The sequence below is a fragment of the Homo sapiens genome, chromosome 19, assembly GCF_000001405.40.
Source record: "Homo sapiens chromosome 19, GRCh38.p14 Primary Assembly".
Taxonomy (NCBI): domain Eukaryota; kingdom Metazoa; phylum Chordata; class Mammalia; order Primates; family Hominidae; genus Homo; species Homo sapiens.
This window is the reverse complement of record NC_000019.10, coordinates 2681539-2695451: the sequence shown is the minus strand read 5'-3', so window position 1 is coordinate 2695451 and position 13913 is coordinate 2681539. Positions and strand designations below refer to the sequence as shown.

At 52.3% G+C, this 13913-nt stretch overlaps 1 protein-coding gene across 2 annotated transcripts in view; it reads left to right on the top strand.

The window, feature by feature from the left end:
* The window catches only part of GNG7 (G protein subunit gamma 7), a 191476-nt gene that overhangs the window by 7243 nt on the left and 170320 nt on the right, over nt 1-13913 (top strand). The window contains exon 2 of one of the 2 annotated variants that reach the window (XM_047438629.1): nt 11719-11972. The exons of the other annotated variant lie outside the window; for it this stretch is intronic. The gene's annotated coding sequence lies outside the window, so the exon portion shown is untranslated. The remainder of the gene's footprint in view (nt 1-11718; nt 11973-13913) is intronic. 2 annotated transcript variants of the gene reach the window in all.

The window sequence follows — 13913 nt, the reverse complement described above, 5'->3', positions numbered from 1 at the left end:
GGAGCACCACGTGAATGAGGCATCTGTGTGCTGGTGTGGGGGCCGTGGAGATGGCAGTCTGGGTCAGAGGGGCCTGAGCCCAGGGTGGCACAGAGGTGGGGGCCTCGGGCCTGTGTGTTCTAGGAGCTGAATAGGTGCAGGGGTGATAAGAAGTCGTCCAGGGGGGTAGAGAGGGGGCTGCGGAAGGTCCAGACAGGAGGCCACGAGGAAGCTTTGAGTAGAATACAAGTTTGCCAGGGAACGGATTGGTGGAGACTGGCCCATCTTGGTGGGTACACAGAGGGCGCTAGGTCTCCCCATGCCACTCACCACACATTTTCTCAGCCTGGCTCACTGCAGCCTCAAACTCCGGGCTCAAGCAATCCTCCCACCTCAGCCTCCCAGAGTAGCTGGGACTACAGATGCACGCCACCATGCCCAGCTAATTAAAACTTTTTTTTGTAAACGTGGAGGTCCCCCTGTATTGCCTAGGCTGGTCTCGAACTCCTGAGCTCGAGTTCAACCCTACCCTGTGATGGCCTGAGTAGGGTCATTTTCTGGGGCAGGGCTGTCCTGGGCACTGCAGGTCCTGAGGTGCCGAGCAGCGTCCCTGGCCTCCACCCACTCCACGCCAGGAGCACCTCCAGTTGTGACAACCACAGATGTCCCCAGACATAGCCCAGTGTCCCTCAGGGAGCAGATCACACCTGGGCTAGGGGAGTCCACGGACTCCAAGAGACTCCGCGTCCCATGATCCTCTGCCCTGCTGAGGTCCCAGGAGGCTGCACACATTGAAATCCACACCCTGAGTGGGGAGGGAGAGAGGAGGTGAGCCCCAGAAGCTGGGGGTCCCCCTGATTTACACTGTCTGCCCCATTGGGAGTTTATTCTGGTGTCTAGTGTGATCAGGAAGCAGACTTGATTTTTTTCCCAAATAATGTAGGGGCTCCCTCTTAGTACTGCAGATAGGGGGGACCGGATTGTTCTCTGGGGTGGGGCCGTCCTGGGCACTGCAGGGTGCTGAGCAGCGTCTCTGGGCTCCACCCACTCCACGCCAGGAGCATCTCTGAGTTGTGACAGCCACCGATGTCCCCAGACATTGTCCACAGTCATCTGGGGTTGAGAACCACTGCTCTATACCAGGCTATGGTAGAACAGATCCTTTCAACTAAAACTTTTTTTTTTCCCCTAAAAACTATGGTTGAACTAGTTAAGTGCTATTCCCTGCCCCCCCCCAAAAAAAAGCAACAAAAAAATCTCCCCAAAATGTAGATTCCTCCAAAAATAGTGTCACCAATTCCAGATAGCCTTGACATTTCTGACCCAAATCCCCTGTGCTTACCCAGCCTTACAATCTCAAATGTAGCCCAACCCCAGAGAGAGAAAGGAAGATAATTTTATCCTCAAACAACCAAGATTTCTTAGGCATAGAGACATTGCCGTTTCAAGGTCAGAGTCATTTATTTTACAGACATTTATTAACGTTCACAACACAATATTAAGTGTCTGATATTGTGTCGAGTGATGGGTTTACAAAATGAAGACAGGGACCTCGACCTCTGAGAGCCTCCAAGAGGAGGCGGCATTTGATTAGAGACTTGGGGGGGTTGTGGGTAGAATGTGGGCGTTCATTCTTTAACCCTTGACGCATTTATCTGGTGCTGTCTCTGTCTCATGTCCAGCCATGCCCTAAATCAGAGCTTGTCCCTGGGGGTGATTCTGGCCTTCAGGGGACACTGAGCAACGTCTGGGGACATTTGTGGCTGTCACAACCGGGGCTGCTCCTGGCATGGAGTGGGTGGATGCCATGGACACTGCTCAGCGCCCTGCAGTGCCCAGGATGGCCGCACCCCAGAGAATAGTCCAGAGCTCCGATGTCCACAGTGCCCAGGGGAGAGACCCTGGTTTGCAGAAATGGCTACCTTTTTGGAGTTTCTGTACAGTTACTCTTTGGAAGATGGTAAAGTAGAAAAAGACTACCTTTGATGTATGTTAATTAGTTGAAAGTCTGCTTTTCTTTTCTTTCTTTTTTTCTTTCTTTCTTTTTTTTTTTTTTTGAGGCAGAGTCTCGCTCTGTCACCCAGGCTGGAGTACAGTGGTGTGATCTTGGCTCACTGCAACCTCCACCTCCCTGGCTCAAGCAATCCTCCCACCTCGACCTCCTGAGTAGCTGGGAATACAGGCAGAGATCACTATGCCCAGCTAATTTTTTTTTTTTGTAAAGATAGGATATTGCTATGTTGCCTAGACTGGTCTCAAACTCCTGGGCTCAAGCGATCCTCCTGCCTCAGCCTCCAGAGTAGCTGGGACTACAGGCACATGTCACCATATCCGGCTAATTTTTTGTAGAGATGGAGTCTCACTATGTTGCCCAGGCTGGTCTTGAACCCCTGAGCTCAAGTGATCCACCCACTTCAGACTCCCAAAGTGTTGGGATTACAGACATGAACCACTGTGCCTGGCTGAACATCTACTTTTCTTTTTAATGAGATAGGGGCTTACTCCGTTACCCAGGCTGGAGTGCAGTGGCACAATCGCAGCTCACTGCAGCCTTGAACTCCCAGGTTCAAGTGATCCTCCTGCCTCAGCCTCCCAGATGGCCAAGACCACAAGCATGTACCACCACACCTGGCTAATTTTTGTATCTTTTGTAGAGACCGGGTCTTGCTGTGTTGTCCAGGCTGGTCTTGAACTCCTGGGCTCAAGTGATTCGCCCACCGCAGCCGGCCCACATTCTAGAATTACAGGTGTGAGCCACCACGTCGGACTTCATTGTTCATTTGACCTTTGTTGACAAGCCCAAGACTGCTGCCCCTGGCCTTCTTTTTTTTTTTTTTCGAGATGGAGTCTCACTCTGTCGCCCAGGCTGGAGTGCAGTGGCGCGATCTCGGCTCACTGCAAGCTCCACCTCCCGGGTTCACGCCATTCTCCTGCCTCAGCCTCCCGAGTAGCTGGGACTACAGACGCCCGCCACCACACCCGGCTGATTTTTTGTATTTTTAGTAGAGATGGGGTTTCACCGTGTTAGCCAGGATGGTCTCGATCTCCTGACCTCATGATCTGCCTACCTCGGCCTCCCAAAGTGCTGGGATTACAGGCGTGAGCCACCGCGCCCGGCCTCCCCTGGCCTTCTTAAAAAACTCCCTAACTTGATGGACAACAAAGCCAGGAGGAATCAAAGAAAAGAGGTGAATCCAGCCAAGTTCAAATGCAGATGTCCTGGCAGAGTCTGCTGGGCACAGAGACGGCTGTGGCTTCAATGTGGTCGGAAAGTAAGGCCTGGACTTCGCTGGCCTTGGCAGTACCCAGTTGTAGGAGGAGCCTGGGGCTGCCGCCGTCATGAATGACCACAGACCGGGTGGTAAAATAACAGAAATGTATTGTCTCATGGTTCTGGAGACCAGGAGTCTGAAGTCACGGTGTGAGCAGGGCTGCGCTCCTTCTAGAGGCTCCAGGGAAGGAGGCGTACTGCCTCCCCCACCCCCTGGGGGCTCCAGGAGTCCTTGGCTTATGGCCTCATTGATCCAATTTCTGCCTCTGTCATCACAAAAGGCCTTCTCCCCGGGTGTCCGTGGAAATTTCCCTCCTCTTTTTTTTTTTTTTTTTGAGATGCAATCTTGCTCTGCTGCCCAGGCTGGAGTGCGGTGGCATGATCTCAGCTCACTGCAACCTCCGCCTCCCGGGTTCAAGCAATTCTCCTGCCTCAGCCTCCCGAGTAGCTGGGATTACAGGCGTGTGCCACCACGCCCAGCTAATTTTGGTATTTTTAGTAGAAACGGGGTTTCACCATGTTGGCCAGGCTGGTCTCGAACTCCTGACCTCAGGTGATCCTTCCACCTCGGCTTCCCAAAGTGCTGGGATTACAGGCGTGAGCCACCACGCCCGGCTCTTTTCCTTTTATTATTATTTTTTTAATTTTTATTTTTTTTGAGACAGAGTCTTGCTCTGTTGCCCAGGCCGGAGTGTAGTGATGCAATCTTGGTTCACTGCAACCTCCGCCTCCCAGGCTCAAGTGATTCTCCCACCTCAGCCTCCTGAGTAGCTGGGACTATAAGCATGTAACACCACGACTGGCTAATTTTTCCATTTTTAGTAGAGATGGGGTCTCGCCATGTTGCCCAGGTTGGTCTCAAACTCCTGAGCTCAAGCAATCCTCTGGTCCCGTCCTCCCAAAGTGCTGGGATTACGGATATGCGTTACTGAGCCAGGCCGAAACCATTTCTAATGATTTTATGATTCTTTTATTGCATTAAAGTACAAAGATACAGTTGGGTTTTTAAATAGACTTTATTTTTTTAGAGCTATTTTAGGTTTACAGCAAAATCGAGCGGTAAGAACAGAAAGTTCCCATACACCTCCCTGCAACCCACAGGCACAGCCTCCCCCATTACCAGCACCCCGTACCACAGTGGTACATTCGTTATAATCACAATGGATGAACCCACGTTGACACATCATTGTCACCCAGAGTCCCCAGTCTCTATTGGAGTTTACTCTTGGTGTTGAAGATTCTACGGGTTTGGAGAAGGGTGTAAGGATACGTGTCCACCATTGTGGTATCCTATAGTTTCACTGCCCTGGCCGGGCGCGGTGGCTCGCACCTGTAATCCCAGCAGTTTGGGAGTCTGAGGTGGGTGGATAACTTGAGGTCAGAAGTTCGAGACCAGCCTGGCCAACATGGTGAAACCCCGTCTTTATTAACAATACAAAGCTTAGTTGGGCGTGGTGGTGCGTGCCTGTAACCCCAGATACTCAGGAGGCTGAGGTGGGAGTATTGCTTGAATCTGGGAGGTGGAGGCTGCAGTGAGCCAAGATTGTGCCACTGCACTCCAGCCTGGGCGACAGAGCAAGACCCTGTCTCAAGAAGAAAAAAAAAAAGACCTGAGCCAACAGGTTGAAATAGAAAAACTCACATGGATTTGTAATCAGAGAATCTTAGAAAGGCAGCTGAGGAAGGGGCTTGGAGCACGTCCAGTCCAGGAGTCAGTAACCACCGCCCTTGGGCCACCTCTGGCCCACAGCCTGGTTTTATATATGGCCCCTGGGCTAAGAATGATTATCCCATTTTTATTTTTATTTTATTTTATTTTTTGAGACAGAATCTCGTTCTGTCACCTAGGTTGGAGTGCAGTGGTGTGATCTCGGCTCACTGCAAACTCTGCCTCCCGGTTCAGGCCATTCTCCTGCCTCAGCCTCCCGGGTAGCTGGGATTACAAGCGCCTGACACCACACTCGGCTAATTTTTGTATTTTTAGTAGAGATGGGGTTTCACCATGTTGGCCAGGCTGGTCTCGAACTCCTGACCTCAAGTGATCCTTTCGCTTCGGCCTCCCAAAGTGCTGGGATTACAGACGTGAGCCACCGTGCCCGGCCTCCATTTTTAAATGGTTGGAAAAAAAAGTCAAAGGAAGCCCTGCTTCTACCCGCCGCCAAAAGAAGCAAAAAACAAAAGTCAAAGAAAAGGCCATGACACATGACAATTATATGGCATTCAGATTTTAGTGTCCAGAAATAATGTTTTATTGGCACACTGCTCTGTGTATTCTGCTACCATGGTGTAGTTAAGTCGTTGCCGTAGAGAGTGGCTCCACCGCAAGGCTGAAAACACTGGGTATCTGGACTCTTACCGAAAAAGCGTGTTGGCCCTCGAGTCCATCTCGCACGCTTTATGCATGGGAAAACTGAGGTCTGGAGGTTTCACGAGTTAGTGGTCATGCTGGGACTTGATCTTGGAACTTTGTACTTTAGCATTTGTCATGTCATTTCAGCCTCTGTGTTGTCAGAGCTCTAACAGTTAACTTCAGAGAATTGCATCGAATATGGTTTTTTTTTTTTTTTTTTTTTTTTTTTGAGTTGGAGTCTCACTCTGTAGCCCAGGCTGGAGTGCAATGGCGCCATCTCAGCTCACTGCAGCCTCCGCCTCCCAGGTTCAAGTGATCCTCCTGCCTTAGCCTCCTGAGTAGCTGGGATTACAGGCGTCCACCACCACACCCGGCTATTTTTTGTATTTTTAGTAGAGACGGGGTTTCACCATGATGGCCAGGCTGGTCTCGAACTTCTGACCTCAGGTGATCCACCCGCCTTGGCCTCCCAAAGTGCTGGGAGGCCCACCGAGCCCGGCCCAAATGTGGTCTTGTTAGGAGCGTTTATTCCTGTAGCCTCCATAATGAGAAGGGCTTAATGATTTGGGAACAATTTTATATAATTATTTTTTTTCCCCTATAACACGGTGCCATGCATAGTATGATTGGCATTTTTTTCCCCCTTTTTTTTTGCATTATTTTTATTTTTGTTTATTTTTTTCTTATTTATTTATTTATTGTATGTATTTATTATGTTGGGGCAAACATAATTGTGGTCTTTGCCATTAAAAGTAATATTTTTTAAATTTACATTTACATTTTTTTTTGAGACAGAGTCTTACTCTGTCGCCCAGGCTAAGTGCAGTGGAGTGATCATGGCTCACTGTAGCCTCCAACTCCTGGGCTCAAGCGATCCTCCCACCTCAGCCTCCTGAGTAGCTGGGACCACAGGCACGCAACCCCGTGCCTGGCTAATTTTTGTTTTATTGTAGAGATGAGGTCTCGCTATTTTGCCTAGGCTGGTCTCGAACTCCTGAACACAAGTGATCCTGCCACCCCGGACTCCCAAAGTGTTAGGAGGACAGACGGGAGCCACTGTGCCCGGCTAACAATGGGTTCATTTCTCTCAACTCCACACTTTATTCAAATGTCATTAATCTTCCCCTAATGTCCTTTCCTGCCCCAGGACCCATCTAGAATCCCACGTGACATTTAGCCGGCTCGTCTCCGGGGGTTCTTCCAGGTTGGGACCATGTCTTAGATGTTCGTTACCTCTCGTGACCTGGACGGTCTTAGGGGGACCGGCTGGGTATTGTGCAGACTTACTTCTGATCTAGGTTTGTCAGATATTTCTCTCGTGATCAGACCGGGGTTACGGGTTTCGGGAAAGAACACGTAGGGGTGAGGTGCCCTGTTGCTCTCTCCCTGCTGGGGATCCTTGAGACCCTGGTGACTTCCTACTGGTGCTGTTAACCTGGTTCTCCCAGCCCAGGTGGCCTTAGCCCACCTACCAGCTACTCTGAGGTCATTCTTGCTGAGGGAACTCCCCACTTCCCCAGAGCACTGACACCGACTCCATCCTTCGTACGGCAAACTTTGCTTTTCATCTTTGCATCATGATTTCTTTTTTCTTTTGTTGAGACGGAGTCTCGCTCTGTCGCCCAGGCTGGAGTGCAGTGGCGCGATCTTGGCTCACTGCAAGCTCCACCTCCTGGGTTTACACCATTCTCCTGCCTCAGCCTCCCGAGTAACTGGGACTACAGGCACCCGCCACCATGCCCGGCTAATTTTTTGTTATTTTTAGTAGGGACGGGGTTTCACCGTGTTAGCCAGGATAGTCTCGATCTCCTGACCTTGTGATCTGCCCAGCTCGGCCTCCCAAAGTGCTGGGATTACAGGCGTGAGCCACCGCGCCCGGCTATTTTATCTGGAGGCAGAGTTTTGTTCTTGTTGCCCAGGTTGGAGTACAGTGGCACGATCTCAGCTCACTCAGGTTCAACTGATTCTCCTGCCTCAGCCTCCCAAATAGTTGGGATTACAGGTGCGTGCCACCTTGCCCGGCTAATTTTTTGTATTTTTAGTAGAGATGGGGTTTCGCCGTGTTGGCCAGGCTGGTCTCGAACTCCTGACCATGTGATCTGCCTGCCTCGGCCTCCCAAAGTGCTGGAATTACAGGCGTGAGCCACCGCGCCCGGCATCATGATTTAAACTTCTTGGCCAGGCTGGTGGCTTACTCCTGTCATGCCAGCACTTTTTTTTGTTTGTTTGTTTTTTGAGATGGAGTTTCACTCTTGTTGCCCAGGCTGGAGTGCAATGGTGCGATCTCGGCTCACCGCAACCTCTGCCTCCCGGGCTCAAGCGATTCTCCTACCTCAACCTCCCAACTAGCTGGGATTACAGGCATGGGCCACCATGCCTGGCTAATTTTGTATTTTTAGTAGAGGCAGGGTTTCTCCATGTTGGCCAGGCTGGTCTCGAACTCCTGACCTCAGGTGATCCACCCGCCTCGGCCTCCCAAAGTGCTGGCATTACAGGTGTGAGCCACCATGCCCAGCCTAACCCCAGCACTTTGGGAGGCCAAGATGAGAGGATTGCTTGAGCCCAGGAGCTTGAGACCAGCCTGGACAACATAGTAAGACACCATCTCTACAAAAAAGAGAAAAAAATTAACTGAGTATAGTGGCGCATGCCTGTAATCCCAGCTACTCGGGAGTCCGAGGCAGGAGGGTCGCTTGAGCCCAGGAAGTTGAGGCTGCAGTGAGCCAAGATCATGCCCCTGCACTCCAGTGTGGGTGACAGAGCCAGACCTTGTCTCAAAAAAAAAAAAAAGAAAAAAAGTGGCCAGGCGCGGTGGCTCACGCCTGTAATCCCAGCACTTTGGGAGGCCGAGGCGGGCGGATCACGAGGTCAGGAGATCGAGACCATCCTGGCTAACACGGTGAAACCCCGTCTCTACTAAAAAATACAAAAAGTTAGCTGGATGTGGTGGCGGGCGCCTGTAGTCCCAGCTACTCAGGAGGCTGAGGCAGGGGAATGGTGTGAACCTGGGAGGCAGAGCTTGCAGTGAGCCGAGATCGTGCCACTGTACTCCACCCTGGGCGAGAGAGCGAGACTCTGTCTCAAAAAAAAAAAAAAAAGAAAGAAAAAAAGTAAGTAAAGTCTCTTTTGACCCCACCCTACAAAGGCTCCGCTCCTTGGGATCGTTTCAGGGTGTTGGAAACTCGTCGTCTTCCCCATCTTGGCGGCAAACACTGAAGAGAGCTCAGGAGAGACATCTCCCTTCTGATTGGAGACATATGCGTCCTGCCGGTCCCGAATGTGTTGCGGGGATTGGCCGGGATCCCAGTGCTGGAGACTGAAGCAAGCAGGCACCGGGCCGGGGTGTTGAGCGCAGCTTTGCCTGAGATGCAACATTTTTAAAAAGGAGGGGGGAGGCCGGGTACGGTGGCTCACGCCTATAATCCCAGCACTTTGGGAGGCCGAGGTGGGTGGATCACCTGAGGCCAGTAGTTGGAGACCAGCCTGGCCAATGTGGTGAAACCCCGTCTCTACTAAAAATACAAGAATTAGCCAGGCGTGGTGGCGGGTGCCTGTAATCCCAGCTACTCGGGAGGCTGAGGCAGGAGAATCGCTTGAACGCGGGTGGCGGAGGTTGCAGTGAGCTGAGATCGCACCACTGCACTCCAGCCTGGGCGACAGCGTGAGACTCTGTCTCAAAAAAAAAAAAAAATGCTGAGACAGAGACCACACACGGCTGGGAAACTGCCTGACAGCTGGCACTTTCTGCCCCCTGGCCTCTGGGACCAAGATGACACCCCTGGGTCCACATTCTCGCTCTGATGAAGTGTCTGGTAAAGGCAGAGGATTGTTGGAAAGCAGGATATCGGTGGGGGCTGAGGTGGGGTTGGAGTGTCCTTGGAAAGTGAAACTGGGCCGGGACAGGAGAGCTCTGGCGAGAAAGAGCTCAGGCCTCCTCTCGCGGGGACAGTGAATGGGGCCCTTTGTTTTGCCAAGGCCCTTTTCTTAGTGGCCTCTTTTCACTGGGCAAACAACGGCAGGGTGTCGCTGGGTGTTCAAGGCCGTCCCCTGCCCACCAGGCCCTCGTCTCGGGAGGAGGACACCGGGCGGTCACGGACGTTACTGGGCATCCGACGTTTGACACACAGTGGACGGGGCCTCGTGACTTCCCACCCTGTCCCCCGTCTCTGACTCTCAGCTGCTTCCCCTCTCTCACTTTCTTTTGTTTTGCTTCCCTTACTTTACTTTGAGACAGGGTCTCCCTCTGTCACCCAGGCTGGAGTGCAGTGGTGCGATCACAGCTCCCTGCAGCCTCTGCCTCCTGGGTTCCAGCCATCCTCCTGTCTCAACCTCCCAAGTAGCTGGGACCACAGGTGCATGCCACCACGCCCGGCTGATTTTTAAATTTTTTTGTAGAGATGGGGTCTTGCTATATTGGCCAGGCTGGTCTCCAACCCCTAGGCTCAAGCTATCCTTCAGCCTCGGCCTCCCAAAGTGCTGAGATTACAGGTGTGACCCACTGCACCCAGCCTTCTCTTCATTTTTCATTGTGGTAAATTACATGTAACATAAAATTTCCCCGTTTAACCATTTTTTGGGTACATTTAACCAACCACTGTCCCCTCCAGAACTTTCTCATCTTCCCAAACTGAAACTGTGTCCTCATGAAGCACAGACTCCCCAGCCCCCTCCCCAGCCCCTGGCACTCCCATCCTACTTTATTTTCTTTTTTCTTTCTTTTTTTTTTTTAGACAGAGTCTCGCTCTTGTCACCCAGGCTGGAGTGCAGTCGTGCGATCTTGGCTCACTGCAACCTCTGCCTCCTGGGTTCAAGCGATTCTCCTGCGTCAGCCTCCTGAGTAGCTGGGATTACAGGCGTGTGCCGCCACGCCTGTCTAATTTTTGTATTTTTAGTAGAGACAAGGTTTCTCCATGTTGGCCAGGCTGGTGTTGAACTCCTGACCTCAGGTGATCCACCCGCCTCGGCCTCCCAGAGTGTTGGGATTACAGGCGTGAGCCACTGCGCCCGTCCAATTTTTGTATTTTTAGTAGAGACGAGGTTTTTCCATGTTGGCCAGGCTGGTCGTGAACTCCTGACCTCAGGTGATCCACCCGCCTCGGCCTCCCAAAGTGCTGGGATTACAGGCATGAGCCACTGTGCCCGGCCCCCATCCTACTTTCCGTCTCTGTGAATCTGAGGGCTCTGGGAACCTCTTAGGAGTGGATCACGGAGGATGTGTCCTTCTGTGCCTGGCTTCTCTCACTGAGACTGAGGTCCTCAAAGTGCATCCTCATCGTGGCCTGTGTCAGGATTGCCTGCTGTTGAAGGCTGAATCATACTCCGGGGTGTGTATGGACCACGCTACGTTGATCCGTGCATCCGTCCAGGGTCACTTGTGTCGCTACCACTTTGGGGCCTCCATCAACAGCACTGGTGCGGGCCGGGCACGGTGGCTCACGCCTGTCATCCCAGCACTTTGGGAGCCTGAGGCAGGCGGATCACGAGGTCAAGAGATCGAGACCATCCTGGCCAACATGGTGAAACCCCGTCTCTACTAAAAATACAAAAATTATCCGGGCGTGGTGGCGGACCCCTGTAATCCCAGCTACTCGCGAGGCTGAGGCAGGAGAATTGCTTGAACCCAGGAGGAGGAGCTTGCAGTGAGCCGAGATCGCACCATTGCACTCCAGCCTGGGCGACAGAGTGAGACTCCATCTCAAAAAAAAAAAAAAAAAAATGGCCAGGCTGGTCTCGAACTCCTGACCTCAAGTGAGCCACCTGGCTTCAGCCTCTCCAAGTGCTGCGATTACAGGCGTGAGCCACCGCGCCCGGCCCCATCATTTATTTTTAAACCCATAGACTTGCTGGTCGCACTTCTGTGCCCGGTGGGATTTTTGTCCATTTGACGTCGCTTTTGCAGCTCGGCCCCCTGGGGCTGAGGGCGGATTTGAGCTCCTCTGGCCGATGCTGTCCACCAGCTCCCTAGCCAGCCCCTGCAGGAGCTCCTTTCTTGTTTCTGCACGGGTACCTCCCGGCAGCAAGCCCGTCCCTGCCCGAGCTGGCCCGTCCCTGTGCAAGAGCCGGTCAGCCCCAGGCAGGTTTTTCACAGCTCAGTTAATTTCCCTCCCTCCTCCTCCAGGGTCTCTCTCTTGTTTTTCTCCTCACCTGGAATGCCCTCGGTTCAGGCTTTCACCATCTCCGCCTGCTCCAGCTCCCCTGTTTCTTCTCCCTGTCTGATGTCACCTTGTGCTTCAGTGACACCTTGAAGTTTCCGGGCTCCCACCCGCCTCCCCACTGCCAGTCTTTATCAGAGCCTGCATCTTCTTCTTTGGCCTGAGCATCGTTTTTGTTTGTTGGCTTTATCTGTAGAAGAGGCTCCTACCTCAAGAGCAGGTAAGAAGACCACACAGAAGGCGTGGAGAGTATCTAGCAGGTATTCCGGGGAAAATAGTCTTTTTAAAAAAATTAGAGATGCGGGTCTTGGCCGGGAGTGGTGGCTCACACCTGTAATCCCAGCATTTTGGGAGCCGAGGCAGGCACATCACCTGAGGTCAGGAGTTCGAGACCAGCCTGGCCTCCCACCCAGGCTGGCCTAGGGCAACATAGTGAGAACCCATCTCTATTTTTTTTTTTTGAGACGGAGTCTTTCTCTGTCGCCCAGGCTGGAGTGCAGTGGCACAATCTCGGCTCACTGCAACCTCTGCCTCCCGGGTTCAAGCGATTCTCGTGCCTCAGCGTCCCGAGTAGCTGGGATTACAGGCATGCGCCAGCACGCCCAGCTAATTTTTGTATTTTTACAAAATTTAAAGAGATGGGGTTTCACCACGTTGGCCAGGCTGGTCTCGATCTCCTGACCTCGTGATCTGCCCGCCTCGGACTCCCAAAGTGCTGGGATTACAGGCGTGAGCCACCGTGTCCTGCCGGGAGTCCTTATTCAGTGAGCCCAGGATGGAATCTTCTAGAATGCAGTAGACTGTTATTTGAATGCCTCCCTCACTCCTACAGTTGCAGCTGCAGGTTTCCGATTGCCCCTCACCCCAGCATTGCAGTTACCCCCAGAGCAACCCCTGGCAGCTCTTCTGAGGCTCTGTCTTCAGATGAGGAAACCAAGGCTCATGGCGTGGAGTGGGAGACTTCACCGGATGGGGTGGGAGCAGGGGCAGGGATGACCCCTGCCTCCCTGTAGCTCTTCTTTTTTTTTTTTTTTTTTTTTTTTTGAGATGGAGTCTCGCCCTGTTGCCCAGGCTGGAGTGCAGTGGTGTGATCTCTGCAACCTCCGTCTCCCGGGTTCAAGTGATTCTCCTGCCTCAGCCTCCTGAGTAGCTGGGACTACAGGTGCGTGCCACCACGCCTGGCCAATTTTTGTATTTCTAGTAGAGACGGGGTTTCGCTATGTTGGCCAGGCTGGTCTCGAACTCCTGACCTCGTGATCCGCCCGCCTTGGCCTCCCGAAATGCTGGGATGACAGGTGTGAGCCTCCGTGCCCAGCTCGCCCTGTAGCTCTTTTATGAGATGGCTCTGTCTGCATTTTGCACAAACTCTTTCATCTCCGTGATGGAACCAGCCACGTTTCCTTGCACATTTTTCCAGGTAAAACTCCGGCTTCCTTCTAGCTGTGGAGTTGATTATACCAGGACCCCTCATGTTAAAAACTATCAGCTTCAGGCCGGGCGCGGTGGCTCACGCCTGTAATCACAGCACTTTGGGAGGCCAAGGTGGGTGGATCACCTGAGGTGAGGAGTTCAAGACCAGCCTGGCCAACATAGTGAAACCCAGTCTCTGCTAAAAATACAAAATTAGCCGGGCGTGGTGGCGCGCGCCTGTAATCCCAGCTACTTGGGAGGCTGAGGCAGGAGAATCCCTTGAACCTGGGAGGCGGAGGTTGCAGTGAGCTGAGATTGCGCCACTGCACTCCAGCCTGGGCAACAGAGCAAGACTCCATCTCAAACAAAAACAAAGAAACAGAAACTATCAGTTTCACTTGAAAACATGCTCCGCATCAGTCCTCAGGGAAATGCAAATCAAAGCCATGGTGAGATACCACTTCACACCCAGTAGGATGGCTAGAATTAAAAAAACCAAAACAACAAACAATCACAAGGGCTCACGGGGAGGTAGAGACACGGGGATCCTCATGCGTCGCTGCTGGGAACATCATGTGGTACAGCTGCTCTGGAAACAGCCTGGCAGTTCCTGAAGTGGTTACATACAGTGTTTCCATATGACCCTGTGAGTTGACTCCTAGACGTACACCTAAGGGAAGTGAAAGCGTATGTCCACACAAACACTGCGCAAGAAGGATCTGGCCCGGTGATGTGGCTAATGCTAGTGATC